Genomic DNA, 21,412 nt, shown 5'->3' on the forward strand with positions numbered 1-21,412 from the left:
TTTTCATGCTGAGTGAGGTGGAAGCCACAGGAAGATTTTCAGCAGAGAAACAGGGTCTGATTCAGGATTCTTCTGGCATCTGAGAAGCGGCTGGGAAGAAGCAGGAAGACCCCAACACTCTCAATCAGAATTAATCTCCACTTAGTCTGTGTACCCAGGGCACATGAATATACTGCTTTAAACAAGCAAACGCCTTGGTTTCTTCTGTCTAATGTTTTAGTTTCCTGTACGCAGCAGGTGCTGAAGCATAGTGATTAAGACTGAGGGCTATGCAGCCCAGCCTTTCTGAACTCCTTCCACAGGTCTGTCGCAAGGATTAAATGAATTAATCTGCATAAAGGGTGCCCAGAGCACTGTCAGTGCTCAAGGAATATTAGCCATTATTAGGAAGTGTCTGTCTGCACTGCTATAACATGACTTTTTTTTTTTTTTGAGACAGAGTTTCACTCTTGTTGCCCAGGCTGTTGCTCAGGAGTGCAATGGCACGATCTCGGCTCACTGCAACCTCCGCCTCCCGGGTTCAAACGATTCTTCTGTCTCAGCCTGCCGAGTAGGTGGGATTACAGGCATGTGCCACCATGCCCAGCTAATTTTGTATTTTTAGTAGAGATGGGGTTTCTCCACGTTGGTTAGGCTGGTCTCGAACTCCTGACCTCAGGTGATCCACCCTCCTCGGCCTCCCAAAGTGCTGGGATTACAGTTGTGAGCCACCACGCCCCATGACTTTCTAAGGAATGCTGTATTGCTTTAAGCCAGGTTCACGGAAGCAGCCCTCAGGCAGTTTGCTGGAGATCGAAGCCTCTGCTGGCTGCCTAGGTCTCTTCCTCCTGCTCCTTCTTCTCCTCTTTCCCTCTGGATTGTTGGATTCTTGCAACAGGTTCCTGCAGAATCTTGCCATTTTAACACTTCCAAAGAATGCCAATGATCCGTGGGTTTCCTGGACAGGTAGAGAAACTCACAGAAGCATCCAGCCGCAGGACGACAGGGCTGATGGCCTTGGAGCCTTTGTCTAATGCATATTGCAGATAAAGAAACGGGGGCCCAGAAAGGTTAAGCCACTTGGCATCAGGCACACAAGGCAAGAGCAGAACTGGGTAGGAATTCAGGTTTCCTCTCTCCAGTCCTGGGGTATGTTTTTTTCCTTTTATGTACTTTTTTTTCTCTTTTTTCTTTTTCTAAAGACAGTCTTACTCTGTTGCCCAGGCTGGAGTGAGGTGGCTCCATCTCAGCTCACTGCAACCTTCGCCTCCCAGGTTCAAATAAGTCTCCTGCCTCAGCCTCCTGAGTAGCTGGGAATACAGGCATGTGCCACCACAACTGGCTAATTTTTATATTTTTAGTAGAGACAGAGTTTTGCCATGTTGGCCAGGCTGGTCTCAAACTCCTGACCTCAAGTGATCCCTCTGCCTCAGCCTCCCAAAGTGCTGGGATTATAGGCATGAGCCACCGCAGCTGGCACTCCTTTTATATAGTTTTAAAAGTACATAAGGAGTAAAAGTATGCAAGGTAAGGAGGGCCAGGCGCAGTGGCTCATGCCTGTAATCCCAGTACTTTGGGAGGCCAAGGTGGGTAGATCACGAGATCAGGAGTTCGAGACCATCCTGGCCAATATGGTGAAACCTCATCTCTACCAAAAATAAAAAACAAAATTAGCCGGGTGTGGTGGCACACGCCTGTATTCCCAGCTATTCAGGCAGCTGAGGCAGAAGAATCACTTGAACCTGGGATCACACCCTGGGATCGGCAGTGAGCCGAGATCGCACCACTGCATTCCAGCCTGGGTAACAGAGCAAGACTCCGTCTCAAAAAAAGAAAAAAAAAAAAAGTAAGGAGGTCTCATCTTTAAAAAAAATGCACGTAAGTGAAAAAAATTGTCTTTAATGATCACCCTGTGCCATCTGCCAACATTCTCTATCCATATCCGCTGCTCTGTTTTTTTTTTTTTTTTTGCCAAAGCACTTATTTCCACTTGATATATCAGCCACTGGAATGGGAACACCCAGAAGGCATGGATATATGCAGAGTGTGGTCTCAGTGCTAAGGACAGTGCCTGGCACAGAGTAAATGTTCAATAAATATGTGTTTAAAAGAATAAATAATACAGCCAGTCATGGTGGCTCATGCCTGTAATCCCAGCACTTTGGGAGGCTGAGGTGGGAGGATTGCTTGAGCTGAAGAGTTTGAGAACAGCCTGGGTAACATAGCAAGACCCTGTCTCTATCTCAAAAATAAATAAATAAATAAAGCCCTGCAATCCTTGTTCCTCCCCTATGCCAACATAATTGCTGTTATCAATTTGGCTTTGCTATTCTTCTAGACCAGTACCATCCAATAGAAGGCTCTGCAGCGATGCATAGATCCTATATCTGCACTGTTTAATCCACCCACCACTAGCTGCGCTGGAAATGGGCCTGATGCCATTGAGGAACTAAACTTTACATTTTATTTAGTTGTAATTCATTTGCATTTAAATGTAAACAGCCACACGTGGCTGGTGACAAGCATATCAACTGTTCTAGACATTTTTTTTCTGGGCATTTGCATATGTATATGTCATCAGGGGCTATTTTGCGTTTTTGTTTTACGTACATTTTCATGCTCCATGTAGCCTTCTGCTACTTACTTTTTTGCATTGAGCAACACTACATTTTGGAAGGCTTTTCATATCAGGCCATATAGATCTGCCTCATTCTTTTTACTTGCTGCACAGAAGTGCATAGTATAGATGTGCCATAATTTGTTTAGCCATTCTCTATCGGGAGACATTTACTTATTTACTTACTTACTTTTCTCTTTTTTCGAAAAATAGAGATTTGTTGTGGGGGAGGGCGGGGTTTTGCTATTTTTGCCCAGGCTGGTCTCGAACTCTTGGCCTCAAGTAATTCTCTTGCCTTGGCCTCCCAAAGCGGTGGGATTACAGATGTGAGCCACCACAACTGGCCAATATTATTATTATTATTGATTTTTTTTTTTTTTTAGAGATAGAGTCTCGTGGCCGGGCATGGTAGCTCGCGCCTGTAATCCCAGCACTTTGGGAGGCCAAGGTGGGCAGATCACTTGAGGTCAGGAGTTTGAGACCAGCCTGGCCAACATGGCAAAACTCCGTCTCTACTAAAAATACAAAAATTAGCCAGGTGTGGTGGCGCCTGTAATCTCAGCTACTCGGGAGGCTGAGGCAGGAGAATCGCTTGAATCTGGGAGGCAGAGGTTGCAGTGAGCTGAGATCGTGCCATTGCACTCTAGCCTAGGCAACAGAATGAGACTCCATGTCAAAAAAAGAAAAACAAAGGCTGGGCGTGGTGGCTCACGCCTGTAATCCCAGCACTTTCAGAGGCCGAGGTGGGCAGATCACCTGAGGTCAGGAGTTTGAGACCAGCCTGGCTAACATGGTGAAACGCTGTTTCTACTAAAAATACAAAAAATTAGCTGGGCGTGGTGGCACACGCCTGTAGTCCCAGCTACTCGAGAGGCTAAGGCAGGAGAATCGCTTGAACCCTGGAGGCGGAGGTTGCAGTGAGCCGAGATCACACCATTGCACTCCAGCTTGGGCAACAAGAGCGAAATTCCATCTCAAAAACAAAAAACAAAAACAAGAGACATAGGGTCTCACTCTGTCACAGACTGGAGTACAGTGGCTTGAAAATAGCTCACTGTAATCTTGAATTCCTGGACTCAAGGGATCCTCCCACCTCAGCCTCCTGAGTAACTAGGACTACAGGTACACAGCACTGTGCTGGTTGATTTTTAAATTTTTTGTAGAGATGGAGTCTCACTATGTTGCCCAAGCTCGTCCTGAACACCTGGCCTCAAGGGTCATTTAGATGGTTTTCAATTTGTCTCTATTAAAAATAGACCTGCAACAAATGTTACTGTTCATACCTTCTTGGGCACGTGCATGACCTTTTCTCTCTGATGAGTACGAATAACAATAGTTCTTTATTTCTTTCTTTCTCTTTCTCTCTCTCTCTCTCTCTTTTCTTTTTTTGACAGAGTCTCATTCTGACACCCAGACTGGAGTGCAATGGCGCGATCTCGGCTCACTGCAACCTCCACTTCCCAAGTTCAAGCAATTCTCCTGCCTCAGCCTCCCAAGTAAATGGGATTTCAGGCGCCTGCCACCATACCCAGCTAATTTTTTTGTATTTTTAGTAGAGACAGGGTTTCGCCACGTTGGCCAAGCTGGTTTCAAACTCTTGACCTTAGGTAATCCACCTGCCTCAGCCTCCCAAAGTGCTGGGATTACAGGCATGAGCCACCGTGCCCGACTTTTTTTTTTTTTTTTTTCAGCATCTTGCTCTGTCACCCAGATGGGAGTTCAGTGGCGCGATCTCTGCCCACTGCAACCTCCTTTTCCTGGGTTCAAGCAATTATCCTGCCTCAGGCTTCCAAGTAGTTGAGATTACGAGCATACACCACCATACTCAGCTAATATTTGTATTTTTATTAGTGACGGGGTTTCACCATGTTTGTGAACAGGCTGGTCTCGAATTCCTGACCTCAAGTGATCTGCTTGCCTTGGCCTCCCAAAGTGCTGGGATTACAGGTGTGAGCCACCACTCCTGGCCCAATAACAATAGTTCTTATTTTAGTAATAATAATAATTGCTTCTACTTACTGAGCCCTTATTGCCTGAGCCGAAGCATTGCTCTAAGCCCTTTACTTGTATTAAATGATGTAATTATTTTTACGAGCTGGGCACAATGGCTCATGCCTGTAGTCCCAGCTACTAGGGAGGCTGAGGTGGGAAGATTTCTTGAGCCCAGAACTTGGAGGCTGCAGTGAGCTATAAGCTATGATCATGCCACCATACTCCAGCCTGGGCAACAGAACAAGACCTTGTCTCTCTTTTATTTTTTTCTCTTTTGAGACAGGGTCTCACTCTGTCACCCAAACTGGAGTGCAGTGGGGCGATCTTGGCTCACTGCAACCTCTGCCTCCTGGGCTCGAGGGATCCTCCCACCTTAGCCTTCCAAGTAGCTGGGACCACAGGCACACACCATCATGCCCAGCTAATTTTTGTATTTAGCCATGAGCCTCCATGCCCGGCAAGACCTTGTCTCTTAAAAAAAATTTATTATGTTGAATAAGAGAGGTTTTATTATTATTTCCATAGTACAGATGCAGAATCTGAGCCTCAGTTTTAGAAATTTGCCCAAAATTACATAACCAGTAAATGACAGAGCTGAGATGTGAACTCAAACATCCACTTCTTGAGTCTGAATATCCATTTTCTGTTTTCCTAGCTCTTACCAAGCTAGCCTGCTGAGGGACTATGCTAGTGTCCACACAGGCATGGGTCCTTCACCCACAGAGCCGCACTGCCACCCCAGGGATCACTTTCCAGGTTTGAGGCCCTGGGCCCCTGGATCTAGGGTAAGACATGCATCCCTGGAGCCTTGGAACTGGGCAGAGCTGAAGTTTCGGTCCATCTTGGAAGCACTAAACTACAGACATGCCCTGTGTCTTGTCCCATCCCCCTATTATTAAGTCCTGAGTCTTCCTCCCTGGCTGGTGATGTGCTGAGAGTGATAAGAAGATAACAGCAAGACAGACAGAGTGAGAGCGACAGGCTGACTTACGTAACCTGGTGGAAAGTGATACAGGCAGATTCGCTGATGGGAAACAAACAGAAAGGGAGTCAGGCAGAGCTTCCTGGAATCCAGGTCTAGGAGCTGCCAAAAACAGGCCTCCTCTCTTAGGAACAATTGAATGTCACTGCAGTAACCGAACACTGCTGGCCAGAGAGGCCTCCTGCCCACAGCCTCACAGAGCGGCCTGTGTGAGCCAGGACAGGCTCCAGAGGAAAAAAGGGCCTGGCAAGGTGCCCTGTGAGGCTATCTGAGGAGACATTGCAGTTCCTCACCCTGGATGGGCCTCCACCAGCACAGGGCTGCGAGTTGAAGGCCAGGGAATTCCCAGGGCGAGTCCCAGGCACAGAGGCTGTGAGCTAGGAGGGCTCTAACCTGGGGTTAAGCCCTGAACTCAGAAGCCGGGCTCCTAGGCTCTTATCCTAGCTTTTTTCTGCTGTGTGACCCTGGGCATGGCATAACCTCTCTGAGACCTCTCTCTCTCAGTCTTCTCATTGGTAGAAAGGGAATAAATATGTGATAGTAGATAAAAATAGGACTCGTAGAAAGGGGATAAAAATGTTATAAGAATCAAATAAGCCAGGGGCTTGACAAACCTTTTAGGTAAATAGCCATATAATATAGATTTTAGGCTTTGTCGGCAGTACAGTCTCTGCCACAACTATTCAACTCTGCTGTTGTACAGCACACAAAAACAACAACAACAAAAAACCAAATGACTATGCCCACGTGCCAATAAAACTTTATTTCTGGGTACTGAAACTTGAATTTTACATAATTTTCATGTGTCACAAAATATTCTTTTTTTTTTTAAATTTGTATTTATTTACTTGTTTTTATTTATTTGTTTATTTGAGATAGAGTCTCGCTCTGTTGCCTAGGCTGGAGTGCAGTGGCACATTCTTGGTTCACTGCAACCTCTGCTTCCTGGGTTCAAGTGATTCTTCTGCCTCAGCCTCCCCAGTAGCTGGGATTACAGGTGTGCACCGCCATGCCCGGCTAATTTTTATATTTTTAATAGAGACAGGGTCTCGCTATGTTAGCCAGGCGGGTCTCGAACTCCTGGTCTCAAGTGATCTGCTCACCTCAGCCTCCCAGAGGGTTGGGATTACAGGTGTGAGCCACTGCGCCTGGCCTCCAGCCATCATATTTTATCTAATGTTCCATTCGGAGACATGTAGATTGTCTCTAGTTTTTCTTTCTTTCTTTTTTTTCTTCTTTTTTTTTTTTTTTTTTTTTTTTTTGAGACGGAGTCTCCCTCTGTCGCCCAGGCTGGAGTGCAGTGGCGCCATCTCAGCTCACTGCAAGCTCCACCTCCCGGGTTCACGCCATTCTCCTGCCTCAGCCTCCCGAGTAGCTGGGACTACAGGTGCCCGCCACCACACCCAGCTAATTTTTTTGTGTGTGTTTTTAGTAGAGATGGGGTTTCACCATGTTAGCTAGGATGGTCTCAATCTCCTGACCTCGTGATCCACCTGCCTCGGCCTCCCAAAGTGCTGGGATTACAGGCGTGAGCCACTGCGCCCGGCCCTAGTTTTGCATGCTCAGGGCTGTGAAACACATCCTCAGCTATTCTTGTCTGCTTGTTTCTTAAACACCTAGACCTGGAATTTGCAGGGGGAAAAGCATAAACCTGGGGCCTCCAATGCATGTTACTTAGGCAGGTGGTTGTGCATTGGATTGCTCTTGTTCCTGGGCAGGACAGATAGTGGCTAAAAGCCAGGCTTTGAAGTCCTGTAGAGCAGAGTTCAAATCCCAGCTCAGTATTTACTGGCTGGGTAATCTTTGGCAGGTCACTTCACCAGTTTGAGCCTCCATTTCCTCATTTGTAAAATCCTGCCTTCATTGGTCCTCATCTCACTTCTGACTCTAAACCACCATATCCCAAGATGGGGCTGATTAGAATGACTTCCTCATGGAAGTTACAATTATTGAAATTGTAATCGCTTGATGAATGGAAGTTCCCACTTCTTTTATCCCAGGCAGTTTCTCAAAAGCAAAAGGAAAAGGAACTAAGGCCAAAATCTGGGAACCTACAAAATCACTGGGAATGAAACAGAAGTGTGGGCATTAGAATGGAGGCTCAATATCCCAGTCCAAGATCTATGGATCTGGTGGAAAATAACCCACTAAAACTGGCTCCAACTATAATAAAAGGGGGAGGCTGGGCTCGGTGGTTCAGCCTGTGATCCTAGCACTTTGGGAGGCCAAGGCGTGCAGGTTGCTTGAGCCCAGGAGTTTGAGACCAGTCTGGGCAACATGGCGAAACCCTGTCTCTACAAAAATACAAAAAATTAGCTGGGTGTGGTGGTGAGTGCCTGTAGTCCTAGCTACTGGGAGGCTGAGGTGGGAGGATCACCTGAGCCCAGGGAGTTTGAGGCTTCAGTGAGCCATGATTGTGCCACTGTTCTCTGTTCTCCAGCCTGGGTAACAGAATGAGACCCTGTCTCAAAAAAAAAAAAAAAAAAAAAAAAAAAGAGGAAAAAAGAAAGAAAAAAAAGGGGAAATTCACCATAAGAAGTATCAGTCAGGAGTGTTTCTGCTGTTGCAGAAACCCAACTAAATTTGGTTGAAGCATGAGGAGAATCAACTTTTATTTTTGGTCACTTAATTGAAAACATCAGGACAAGTGCCAGCTTCCAGCACAGCTGGACCCAAGGGCCAACATGTGGCTCCAGGGACTCTCCCTCCGTTTCCAGTGCTGCACTCCAGCTTTTGCTGTGTCCCCACTCCTGGGTCAAGATGGCCTCTCAGCAACCGCAGAGCCAGGCAATTCTGTCTTTTCACGGATGAGAACAGAAAGTCCCAGAAGGAAGTCTCACTGGGTCTAGCCTGGTCACATGCCCATTTCTAAACCAATCGCTGTGACTGGGCCAGCCTAGAGCTAGGCAGAGCTGGCCCCCACGGACAGAAAGGAGGAGACCCGTAGCTCCCGGGAGAATGCAGGTGCTGTTTCCAGAAGGGGCATCAAGGCCAGAAAGGCAAAGACAACAGGTGTCTATTATGCCACCTGGCTGTACTTTTTGTGAGAACCGCTGTTATCACATGAAACACAAGGGCAGGAAGTGCAGTGGCCTCACACATTTCTTAAATGAGCACCTGAAAGGCCACCAGGAATTGTGGCAGCCAAATCCTGGTCTCTCTATGACTCTGCCCACAGGTTTCCTCATCTCTGCTTCTCTCTTTTCCCTCTCCCTGTCTTCTTCCCTGAGCCCATGAGCAAACCCGACTGCCCCATAGCACCTGACAGCACAACCCCTTCCTTTAAGCAACAGCCCACAAGACTCACCACATTCTCAAGACAGAGAATCTGATCACCTCAACCAGTCAGGTGCCCGTCTTTGTGCAGTCAATTCTGGCTGGAGGGCAGGGTTGAGTAGCTTGTACGCGTGGTTTCATGGGGTAGTTGCACCTGTTTCAAAGAGAGATGGGTCACCACAAACTGGGCAGAAACCACACGATATGTCCATGATGCTCTGCAGCTGAATGAAGTTATCTACAAAGAAACTGAAGCCAAGGCCAGGCAGAAGTCAGGCCTGAAGCTAAGAATTTGTTTCCCCAAGACAGGAACATTCCTGCATCTGGAGGCTGAGGCTGCTTGGACAGAGAAGTGCATCCAGCTGCCAAGGTGAAGCTCTGAAGGGGCCTGTCCATGAGAGCAGGGCCAAGAACGCCTAAGCCCACCAGTAAGATGCAAGAACACCTGTGCGAAATAATAATAATGATCATAGCTGGGTGTGGTGCCTGACAGCTGTAATCCCAGCACTCAGGGAGACAGAGGCAGGAGGATCACTTGAGCCCAGGAGTTTGAGACCAGCCTGGGCAACCTGGCAACCCCTTCCCCACACCCCTTGTCTCCACAAAAACGACAAAAAATTTTTAAAATGATAATAATATAAAATAGCACTAATAATAAATGTTATTCAGTGCTGCTGACCAGGTATCACTCTAGACACTTAAATGAACAGCATTTTTGCTTTTTTGTTTCTTTGTTTTTGAGACAGAGCCTCACTCTGTCCCCCAGGCTGGAGTGCAGTGGCACCATCTTGGCTTATTGCAAACTCTGTCTCCTGGGTTCAAGTGATTTTCATGTCTCAGCCTCCGGAGCAGCTGGGATTACAAGCGTGTGCCACCACGCCCAGCTAATTTTTTGTATTTTTAGTGGAGACGGGGGTTTCACCATGTTGGTCAGGCTGGTCTCAAACTTCTGGCCTCAAAGTGATCCACCCGTCTCAGCCTCCCGAAGTGCTGGGATTACAGGCGTTAGCCACTGTGCCTGACCTAAATGCGCAGCATTTTTAAGCCTAATGATACAGTCAGATGGGTATTTATTATCCTCATTTACAGAACATATATTGAATGAGTGAGCATTAACTGATCTTTCACCTTATTAATTCACTTAGTCATTCACTCACTCAATGGATAAACAATTAATGAATGCCAACTATATGCCAAATACCATGTGTGCTGGGTGTTGGGACACAAGCAGTCCTGTCTTTGTGAATGTTACAGTAAAATGTTGGAGGCTCTGAAGGGTGAGTGGTCATTAATTAGACGGTTAGACTAATAAGAGGGGAAGGGAAAGGCATTCCAGGTAGAAGGAACTCCATGTGCTAAGGCACTGTGGGGGAAGGGCATGTGTGGGGTGGGAGCAATGCCTGTTGACTGATGGTGTGCCAGAGAGGCAGAGAGCCACGCAGTTTACACCTGCTGGCTCACTGACCCTTACCACAGTCCTGTGAGATAGCTACTGCTATTAATATCATTTTGTAGATGAGGAAATCGAGGCACAGAGAAGGTAAGTAACTTTCCCAAGGACACACAGCACCATTAGCAGTGAAAGAGCAGCAGTTATAACCCAGGCCTGTGACCAGAATTCTGAACATCTCTAATCTTTAAGTAAAGGAAGGCAGGAGAAATTGGTCCATTTGGGGCAGGTGTGTTTTCTGGGAACCTTCCAGCACTATTTTCACTTGCAGCTGTAGCCACAGGCTACATAGATGATTTCCAGAATGGAGGGGAAGAAGAGTGCACCCAGCCTTTCCTGGCCACAGGCAGGAATCCTTTTAGCCAGTTATTAATGCTCAGCCACAGGAGATGCCGCAGTGAGACACACAGAGGAGCCAGACCAGGGAGAGGCAGCAAGAAAGACAGCATTGATCCTGGAGGTATACATTTAGGAGAGAGAACCTGTCAGAACAGAAAGAGCTTGGACTTGGGACCAGGCCAACCTCAGCCCAAATGGCAGCCCTGCTACCCACCAGCTCTGTGACCTTAAGTAAGTTTCCTCTTAGTCTCCAGTTCTTTATTCAAGCAGAGTAAAAGTATGCTTCCCGCCTCCCTCCCACCTCCATCCTGTAGCCAACAGTCCCCCCTCCCCAGAGGCAGGCACTATGACTAGTTTCATGCATCATCTTCCGGGTAAATTGTAGAGAGATAGATGGATGAATAGAAGTATATATGTGTGTGTATAATATAGTACACACATATATGCAAATATTGTAACTATTGGGATGCTTTGACTAAGTACAAAAAAACCTACAGATGCAAGATTTACTTATTAAGAACTGTGGAGATAATAAATGCCTAATTTCTGTGTCCAACTGCTCATTAATGTCTAGTAAGAATCTCAAATTTAACATGGTTAAGATTAAACTTTTATTGTTATTATTATTATTTTGAGACAGAGCCTCACTCCGCTGCCCTGGAGTGCAGTGGTGCAATCTTGGCTTACTGCAGCATCAACTTCCCAGGCTCAAGCAATCCTCCCACCTCAGCCTCCTGGGACTGCAGGTGCACACCACCACGCCTGTCTAATAAAATTAAACTTTATGATTCCTCACCCTCCAAACCTGTTTCTCCCTTACTAAATACCTGGTTACTCAAGCCAAAAATACACTGAAATAATTCTGGATTTTTCTCTCTTTCACTCACTTTTTTTGGGGGGTGCTGGGGTGCAGTGGCGCCACCTCAGCTCACTGAAACCTCCACCTCCTGGGTTCAAGGAGATTCTTGCGCACCAGCCACTGGAGTAGCTGATTACAAGTGTGTGCCACCATGCCCAGGTTTTTTTTTTTTGGTTTTTTTTTTTTTTGGTATTTTTAGTAGAGACAGGGTTTCGCCATGTTGGCCAGGCTGGTCTCGAACTCCTCACCTGAAGTCATCCACTTGCCTTGGCCTACCAAAGTGCTAGGATTACAGGCATGAGCCACCACGCCTGGCCTTTCACTCACTTTTTACATCTGATTCATCACATAGTCCTGTCCAGCTTTTCTGAAAATCTAGAGATAGATCCACCATTAAGTGAATGAAGCAAAGCTGAGATCAGGGCTCTTCAATTGCACAGCCCCTTCCAAATCTAGCAATATGTTCACACAGTCATGTGTTTCTGCAACATCTGCAAAGGTAAGTATTTTAGCTGCAACTGGTTAGACAAGGTCTCTCCAGCTCCCCAACGTTGCCTGCCTGGGAATGTGCATCGGGTGGCATTTGGGGAGCTATGGGCAGGGATCAGCTAAGGGGAAGATGAGTTAGGGAATCCATTAAATTTGGGTTTAGTGGATGTAATCTTTTTTTTGTTTTTTAATAGAGGTGGGGGTCTCACTGTGTTGCCCAGGCTAGACTTGGGCTCCTGGGCTCGAGTGATCCTCCCACCTCAGGCTCCTGAGTAGCTGGGACTACAGGTGTGCACCACTGCACGCAGCTTTAGCGGGATGTAGTCTTGTAGCTCACGATCTTTTCGGTGAATAAGGAAAGTATTGCTTGTTGTCCTGGCAGAGAAATGGCTTCCAGGATACTCCTTCTGCCCATGCTACTGACTCACCCAGTATCAAGACACAAAAGTCTGGCACGGTGGCTCATACCTGTAATTTCAGCACTTTGGGAGGCCAAGGCAGGAAGATTGATTGAGCCTAGGAGTTCCAGACTAGTCTGGGCAACATAGTGAAACCCTATCTCTTCAAAAAAAAAAAAATTGTTTTAGCTAGCCTGGAGTGGTGGTGGTGTGTTCCTGTAGTCCCAGCTATTAGGGAGGCTGAGGTGGGAGGATCACTTGAGCCCAGGAGGTCAAGACTACAGTGAGCCATGATTGCACCACTGCACTCCATCCTGGGCAACAGAGAAGCCCTGTCTCAAATTAAAAAATAAAAATAAAAAAACAGGCACAAAAGTGACTGGGCACAGTGGCTCACGCCTGTAATCCCAGCACTTTGGGAGGCCGAGGCGGGCAGATCACGAGGTCAGGAGATCGAGACCATCCTGGCTAACATGGTGAAACCCTGTCTCTACTAAAAATACAAAAAAATTATCTGGGCGTGGTGGCGGGTGCCTGTAGTCCCAGCTACTCGGGAGGCTGAGGCAGGAGAATGACGTGAACCCGGGAGGCGGAGCTTGCAGTGAGCCGAGATCGTGCCACTGCACTCCAGCCTGGGCAGCACAGCAAGACTCCATCTCAAAAAAAAAAAAAAAAAAAAGACACAAAGTTATAGTACTAAGGATGCCAGAGCAGGAAGAGAGAAGGAATCTGAATCCTTAGTGATAGCATTGCTTCCCTAAATGAACCAACTGTGAAACTGTTCTACATCCAGACTCCTCATAGGTAAATTATACATTTGCGGGTTGGGTATTGTTTTATATTTGCAGCCAAAAGCATCCCAACAGATACAACAATATATGCTTCCATGCCTCTAAAGTTAACCTGGAAGGAGATATACAAGACTGGTAATGCTGAATGCCTCTGTGGAGGGGGACAGGTAGCAGAGGGGAATGGGAGGGAGACCTATTTAATTCAGATTTTTTTGTGTGTGCTTGAATTTTGTTTCTCTGGGGCCAACTTTCACCATTTCAAAAAGTAGATAGTAAAACTTCAAAGTATGTGGAACACTTGGGAACTTTTTTTTTTCTTTGGGACAGAATCTTGCTCTGTTGCCCAGGCTGGAGTACAGTGGCACAGTCTCGGCTCACTGCAATCTTCTTGTCCCAGGTTCAAGTGATTCTTGTGCCTCAGCCTTCCAAATAGCTGAGATTACAGGCATGCACCACCACGACTGATTAATTTTTCGTAATTTTAGTAGAGATGTGATTTCGCCATGTTGCCAGGCTTGTCTCAACCTCTTAAGCTCTGGTGATCCATCCGCCTCAGCCTTCCAAAGTGCTGGGATTACAGGTGTGAGCCACGGTGCCCAGCCAGGTTTTTCATTTCTTTTAAGCGCATGAAAGAAGTACATTTAATCTGGCAAGGCTGGCTCTTGCTGAAGTGGTCTCGGAGAGGCCATTGGAACAACAAAGAAAGAAATGTCATTGGCAAGTTCAGATACTAAAGGGTTGGAAAGTGATCTGGCACTCAGCATCCTGCAGCTTGAGGGACATTTGGAGTTCTTCCTGCCTGCTTCCCACTGCTGAGCAATTCCCAGCCCAGCCTGATATTTCAAATGATTTCCAGGAAGGGGAACCTGGCACCAGCTGTACCCCCTTGAAGTTCTTGTGACTGTCTTCTTCAAATGCATCCGCCTGCTTCTTCTTCAAAAGACAAGAGAAAATGCTGCTGGCGAGCTAAGAGACTTCAAAGATGGTTTTGTCATGTGTTTTTTGAGTCAAGAGGCTAAGTTTCTGAGAGGAGGAGAGATTTTTTTCAAGGACACATACAGTTAATTGGTGACAGGACTCCAGTGTCCACTTAGCTAGGCTCCTTCTTGCTCCTGTTCTGCCCAGGGTCCTTAGTTCTTCCAGGCTGTTCCACCCAGTAGGCCTCCCAGGTTCTCAAAGTGATAGCACAGGGAGATCTCCTGGGGAAAAAAATGACCTTGACATCCATGGTCTGTGAGTCTGGGGAAGGCTGCATTCTATAGCAGCCTCCTGGAGATTTACAGAGCATGTTGGCAGATTAAGGGTTCTGCAGAGTCCTGCATAAAGAAAACTACTTAAAAAAAAATTCCTGGCCAGGCACGGTGGCTCACGCCTGTAATCCCAGCACGTTGGGAGGCTGAGGCGGGTGGATCACTTGAGATCAGGAGTTCAAGACCAGACTGGCCAACATGGTGAAACCCCATCTCTACTAAAAATACAAAAAATTAGCCGGGCGTGGTGATGCGTGCCTGTAATCCCAGTGACTCGGGAGGCTGAGGCAGGAGAATCACTTGAACCCAGGAGGCAGAAGTGGCAGTGAGCCGAGATCACACAACTGCACTCCAGCCTGGTCTTGCTGTGTCACAAAAACAGAGTCTTGCTCTGTCCCAAAAACAAAAACAAAAACAAATTCCTCCCAGGTCAGGATATCAATAGTACTCACCTCGTAGTGTTGTCATGAAGATTAGTATCACGAGGCTACAACCATTTATCGGATATCAGAGTTTCAAAATTTACACTAAATGGGTTCAATAAGATTATGTATAACCTCAGGACAGGTCAGGATTTCCTTCCAAATGAGTGCTGGCATCAGACTTTTGAGAAACAGTTCATTTCATAGCCTTTTTTGTTTTGTTTTGTTTTTCAGAGATGTTTCTAGTTGTCATTATGGGCTTTTTTTTTTTTTTTCTGATGCCTGTCTTCCTCCTGCAGTATGATAGCCTTTTTTGATTTTAGAATTGTGGTTAAAGGAATGAGGACTTGTAATGAAGATAATAGCTAATATTTATTGAGCATTTTTGTGAAACCCGGCAATGTTCCAAGTGCCTCACATCAATGAACTTATTGAATCCACAGAGCAACTGCACGTGACAGATAGTGTGGTAAACCCTGTCGGGCAAATGAGCAAACTGAGGCGTAGGGGGACTAAGTAACGCACTCAAGCAGCAGAGCTGGGAGTAAATGAGACAATATGTATGAATTGTTTATCACAATGCCTAGCACATAATCAACAATCCATATAAACATTAGCTATTATCCTCATTAATGATGGGAGAATCATGACTAATCTTTTTTATTTTTTGTTTTTCAGACAGGATCTTGCTCTGTCACCAGGCTGGAGTACAGTGGTGCAATCATGGCTCACTGCAGCCTCAATCTCTTGGGCTCAAGCAATCCTCCTAGCTCAGTCCCCAAGCAGCTAGGACAGGTGTGTGCCACCACACTCAGCTAAGTTTAAAAATCTTTGTAGAGATGAGGTTTTGCCATGTTGCCCAGACTGGTCTTGAACTCCTAGGTTCAAGCAATCCTCCCGCCTCAGCCTCCCAAAGTATTGGGATTACAGGCGTGAGCCACCACGTCTGGCCTTGACTAACTTTTATCTTCTTTGCACCCATGTAGAATTTCTAATTTTACTATAATAAAAATATTCTGGGCTGTGTGTGGTAACTCATGCCTGTAATCCCGGCACTTTGGAAGGCCAAGGTGGGCGGATCACTTGAGGTCAGGAGTTCAAGACCAGGCTGGCCAACTTAGCAAAACCCCATCTCTACTAAAAATACAAAAATTAGCCAGGCATGGTGGCACATGCCTGTAGTCCTAGCTACTTGGGAGGCTGAGGCATGGGGAGGCAGAGGTTGCAATGAGCTGAGATCATGCCACTGTACTCCTGTGATGGAGTGAGACTCTGTCTAAAAAAAAAAAAAAAAAAAAAAAATTATATGTGGGGGAAAATGTTTTTCAAAAGATTAGACAATTTCTGAATTGAGCCTAATATCTCAATATCTCTCAGTCTCTCTTCTCACTCCATCAGGTCTGATGCTGGTCTGGGCAGAAATGGATTTGTCACCTCAAAGATGACTTCCTTGGGCACAACTAGGCCAGACGCTGGGTACCTTGTGGTGGCCCTGGAGGGGTACAGCTTCAAGAAAGAACTTGCCGATCCCCTGCAAAGAATGCAGTTAGCCAACAGCCTTCGGCCTCAGCACATTTGAGATCTGCCTTAACTTTCAAGCCAAGGCTAGCTCTTCCTGAGCAGGCTCCAGCGAAGAACCTGCATGGAGGGACTAGGACCCGACCAGTTCTGCCCAACATGGGGCTCCCCTAACAAACAGTCTTTGTTCTGGAGCTCCCAAACTGAGTTGACAAAGCCTCTGTCAGCCCTGCATTGCCGTCTGAGGCTCCCCTGCTGAGTGCTGCTTTCACCCACTTTTGTCTTTCACAGGCATGACACTCCTCCCTCTCGTCCTACTAGCTCCACTTTACCATCTGCTTCCCAGAGGACTGGAACTGACATGCTGCCTTTACTACCCCGCAACCATTCTCACCCCACCTCCACATATGCCTGCCCAAATAATCTTGATTTTGGGCTCAGCTACTAGATCGAAATCCCTTCATCTTTGGAGAGTGGGTTGCTCCCCAGCCCCAGCAGATAAATCATGATCTGTCTTAAGTAGACCCAGTAAGTCCTTTCTGTTCTACAGGAATTGGTCCAGGATGGGTGCCTGGTCCGCCTTTTAGCCAATGAGAGGTCAGGGGAAATCTGGGGCTTCACTTTACTAATAACATAGACCTTCAGGTAGTTAAAGCCTTCTGCCCTGCCCCTTCCCTTCCATTTTGATCAGTGTCCTGTGATCAAATGATGTGAGGCACTGCAGCAGCTGTTTTGGGCAATGAGTTTGAGGACAAAAGCCAACTGCTGAAGATGACAGAGCAGAAAGATGAGAAGAGCCTGAGTCCTGAAGAACACCCCCGAGCCCCTGCAATGACTCTGGAGCTGCTGACCTCCACATGTTTTGCTATAAAAAAAAAGATTGCATTTCTTCTTTGCTCAAGCCACCATGAATCAGGCATGCTGTGACTGGCCGCTGAAAATATGGTAACGCATGCAGTCACATTCCCCATGTTCTATTCTCCAGATTACCTTCAAACAACTGAAGGTACAGGACTCAGAGTTCCCGTTGAGGTATTTGAACTATTTTCCTGGAAGGGAAATATTCAAAAAGTCCTCTCAGCCCCGGGCACAGTGGCTTACACTGTGGATTACAAAAGGACTTTTAAGGACTCATAGGATTACAAAATCCTGTAATCCCAGCACTTTGGTGGGCAGGTCACCTGAGATCAGGAGTTCAAGACCAGCCTGGCCAAAATGGTGAAATCCCGTCTGTACTAAAATTATAAAAATTACCGAGTGTGGAGGTGCATGCCTGTAATTCCAGCTACTGGGGAGGCTGAGGCAGGAGAATCACTTGAACCCGGGAGGCCGAGGTTGCAGTGAGCTGAGATCACACCATTGCACTCTAGCCTGGGCAACAGAGTGAGACTGCATCTAAAAAAAAAAACCAAAAAAATTATCTCATTTCCAACTTGCCAACACCTGTGATAATGTAAACCAAAAATGAAATTCTAAGCCCCTCAACTGACTGAATGAATCCCCATCTTCACCAAGGTGATCCCAAAGAAAACCTGAAAAACTAGTTCAGGCCATGATGGGAAGGAAGGTCAGATATGCCTCTTCGCCTCTTCATACTTTCCTCCCTTTGGAGTTTAGGCACAACTGGTCAGCATTCATATTAAAATACAGATCATCATAGGGCGGGCATGGTGGCTCACGCCTGTAATCCCAGCACTTTGGGAGGCCGAGGCAGGCAGATCACTTGAAGTCAGGAGTTTGAGACCAGCCTGGCCAACATGGTGAAACCCCGTCTCTACCAAAAATACAAAAATTAGCCAGGCATGGTGGCAGGCGCCTGTAATCCCAGCTACTTGGGAGGCTGAGGCAGGAGAATTGCTTGAACCTGGGAGGTGGAGGTTGCAGTGAGCTGAGTTCGCTCCACTGCAATCCAGCCTGGGTGACAGAGCGAGACTCCATCTCAAAAAACAAAACAAAACACAAAAAACCAGATCATCAGATGGACAAAACAGACTCTTTGTGCAATAAGATACCAAATTCCAACCTGACCCTGTATGTGATGTAGAGCATAACAGTGACAGATAACAGGCCCTAAGGAAAGTCAAAGTATTTTACCCCAAGATATATTTATTTGACATATTTTGGAGTGACCCTGCAAAGCCCACTCTTTGCCTTCTGTAGCGAATCCCCTTCCTGTTCCAGGTCTTTTCCTGATCCAGGAGAGAATTAAACTAAGAGTCTAACACCTTTTGAGGTCTAATAAGAGAAATCTACCATCTATCCTGTCTGAAGCTGGGTGCTTAGAGGCTTCATCTACATAAACAAGAACCTTGGCTTCCACAACTCTCTTACCTTAACTCAAGCATTTCTTTTTCTTTCTTTTTTTTTTTTTTGAGTTGGGTTCTCACCCTGTCACCTAGGCTGGAGTGCAGTGGTGTGATCTCAGCTCACTGAAACCTCTGCCTCCCAGGTTCAAGCCATCCTCCTGACTCCACCTCCTGATAGCTGGGAGCACAGGTGCGTACCACCACGCTGGGCTAATTTTTGGTAGAGTCAGGGGTCTCTCCATGTTGCCCAGTCTGGCCTGGGACTCCTAGGCTCAAGCGATCCACCCGTCTTGGCCTCCTAAAGTGCTGGGATTATAGGTGTGAGCCACCGCACCTGACCTCAAACATTTCTTTATGCTGACTTCAACTCCTCAGGCAATGCTTCACTCTTTCAATCAATTGCCAATAAGGAAATCTTCGAATCCACCTATGCCCTGGAAGTCCCTCTGCTTCCATCTTTGAGATGTCCTGCCTTTTGAGGCTGAACCAATGTATACATTTCATGTATTGCTTTATGTCTTTGTTTGTGACTTCCATCTCTCTAAAATGTATAAAACCAAACTGCAACCTGACCACCTTGTGCATATGTCCTCAGGACCCCCTGAGGCTGTGTCACGGGCCATGATCACTCATATTTGGGTCAGAATAAACTTCTTCAAATATTTTACGGAGTTTGGCTTTTTTCCTCAACAATACTTACCTCTCCCTTGCTTCAAACCCTCCCATGGCTCCCCAGTACTTTTTCAGTTTTTTTTTTGAGACAGAGTTTTGCTCTTTTTGTCCAGGCTGGAGTGTCGTGGTGCGATCTCCGCTCACTGCAACCTCTGCCTCCTGGGTTCAAGTGATTCTCCTACCTCAGCCTCCTGAGTAGCTGGGATTACAGGCACCCGCCACCACATCCGGCTAATTTTTGTATTTTTAGTAGAGACGGAGTTTCACCATGTTGGCCAGGCTAGTCTTGAACTCCTGACCTCAGGTGATCCACCCGCCTTGGCCTCCCAAAGTGCTGGGATTACAGGCGTGAGTCACTGTGCCCGGCCACCCCCCCAGTACTCTTAAGACAGAGTTTGAACTCCTCACTGATAAAGACCTGCAAGATCTGGCACCTCCTGGTCCCCTGCCATCACCCATGACCCTTCCTACTTCATACTTGTTCCCCAGCCAGACTGAACTACTTTTAATTGCCTAATATTATTACTAGAAAGGGGTCCTGATCCAGACCACAAGAAAGAATTCTCTCACAAGAAAGAATTCGGGATGAGTCCACAGAGTAAAGCAAAAGCAAGTTTACTAAGAAAGTAAAGGAATAAAGGCCGGGCGCGGTGGCTCATGCCTGTAATCCCAGCACTTTGGGAGGTTGAGGCAGGGGGATCACCTGAGGTTAGGAGTTCAAGACCAGCCTGGCTAAAATGGCGAAACCCCATCTCTACTAAAAATACAAAAAATTAGCTGGGCCTGGTTGTGCGCCCATGTCATCCCAGCTACTCAGGAGGCTGAGGTATCGGAATTGCCTGAACCCAGGAGGCCGAGGTTGCCATGAGCCAAGATCGCACCACTGCACTCCAGCCTGGGCGACAGAGTGAGACTCCATCTCAAAAAAAAAAAAAAAAAAGTAAGTAAAAGAATAAAAGAATGGCTATTCTGTAGGCAGAGCAGCAGCATGGGCTGCTTGACTGAGTGTATTTATGGATACTTCCTAATTATGTGCTAAACAAGGGGTGAATTTTTCATGAGTTTTCCAGGGCAGGGTTGGGGAGCTCCTGGAAGTGAGGGTTTCTCTTCTTTTTAGATCATATAGGGTAGCTTCTGGACATTGTCATGACTCTGGTGGGAGTGTCTTTTCGCATGCTAATTAGTGTATAATGAGCAGTGAGGACAACCAGAGGTCGATTTTGTTATCATCTTGGTTTGGATGGCTTTTGACCTGCTTCTTTACTACCTCTTGTTTTGTCAGCAGGGTCTCAATGACCTGTATCTTGTGATAGGAATCCTGCTGGCCTCTTATCTCAACCTGTGAGAAAGAATGCCTAACCTCCTGGGAATGAAGCCCGTTGGGTCTCATCCACATTTTACCCAGCCCCTATTCCAGATGGAGTCGCTCTGGTTCTAACACCTCTGACAATATCCTATATTACCTCCAGACATTTGCGTATGCTAATTTCTCTCCCTCCTCCCCCATTTCATGTGGCTGTCTCCTCCTTCGTCAGGTCTCAACTCAAATGTTTTCTCCCCCAAGAGGCCTTCCTTGATTTCTTTTCTTTTTTTTTTTTTGAGATGGAGTCTCGCTCTATCACCCAGGCTGGAGTGTAGTGGTGCGATCTTGGCTCACTGCAACCTCCGTCTCCTGGATTCAAACGATTCAGCCTCTTGAGTAGCTGAGATTACAGGCACCCACAAACATGCCCAGATAATTTTTGTATTTTTAGTTGAGACGGGGTTTCACCATGTTGTCCAGCTGGTCTCAACCTCCTGAGCTCAAGTGATCTGCCCGCCTTGGCCTCCCATTAGTGCTGGGATTACAGGCATGAGTCACCGCACCCAACCACCTTCCTTGATTTCTAGACTGGATTCTGAAACCCCTTAGGGCTCCCATTGCACCTTTGTGTTTACCCTGTTGAAACAGCTATCAAACTGGATTATGGTTGTCTGTTTTCAGGACTGCTCTCTGCTCTCTCCTATACTACCTCTAGCTTTTTTTCTTTTTCAGATGTAGTTTTGCTCTGTCACCCAGGCTGGAGCGCAGT

The 21,412-nt window shown here is 46.7% G+C and overlaps 3 annotated features.

Annotated features, from left to right (window-relative positions):
- Nucleotides 8,479–8,568: an enhancer, noted in NCBI's record as "active region_18068". NCBI's record gives its function as "activates an Ori minimal core promoter by ATAC-STARR-seq in GM12878 lymphoblastoid cells {active_cell/tissue: GM12878}" and the evidence as "EXISTENCE:reporter gene assay evidence [ECO:0000049][PMID:35858748]".
- Nucleotides 17,236–17,737: an enhancer, noted in NCBI's record as "H3K27ac hESC enhancer chr20:48376127-48376628 (GRCh37/hg19 assembly coordinates)". NCBI's record gives its function as "activates a minimal SCP1, AML or CMV promoter by ChIP-STARR-seq in naive H9 embryonic stem cells {active_cell/tissue: H9 hESC(naive)}" and the evidence as "EXISTENCE:reporter gene assay evidence [ECO:0000049][PMID:30033119]".
- Nucleotides 17,738–18,237: an enhancer, noted in NCBI's record as "H3K27ac hESC enhancer chr20:48376629-48377128 (GRCh37/hg19 assembly coordinates)". NCBI's record gives its function as "activates a minimal SCP1, AML or CMV promoter by ChIP-STARR-seq in naive H9 embryonic stem cells {active_cell/tissue: H9 hESC(naive)}" and the evidence as "EXISTENCE:reporter gene assay evidence [ECO:0000049][PMID:30033119]".

This window comes from Homo sapiens, chromosome 20 (assembly GCF_000001405.40).
Source record: "Homo sapiens chromosome 20, GRCh38.p14 Primary Assembly".
NCBI lineage: Eukaryota > Metazoa > Chordata > Mammalia > Primates > Hominidae > Homo > Homo sapiens.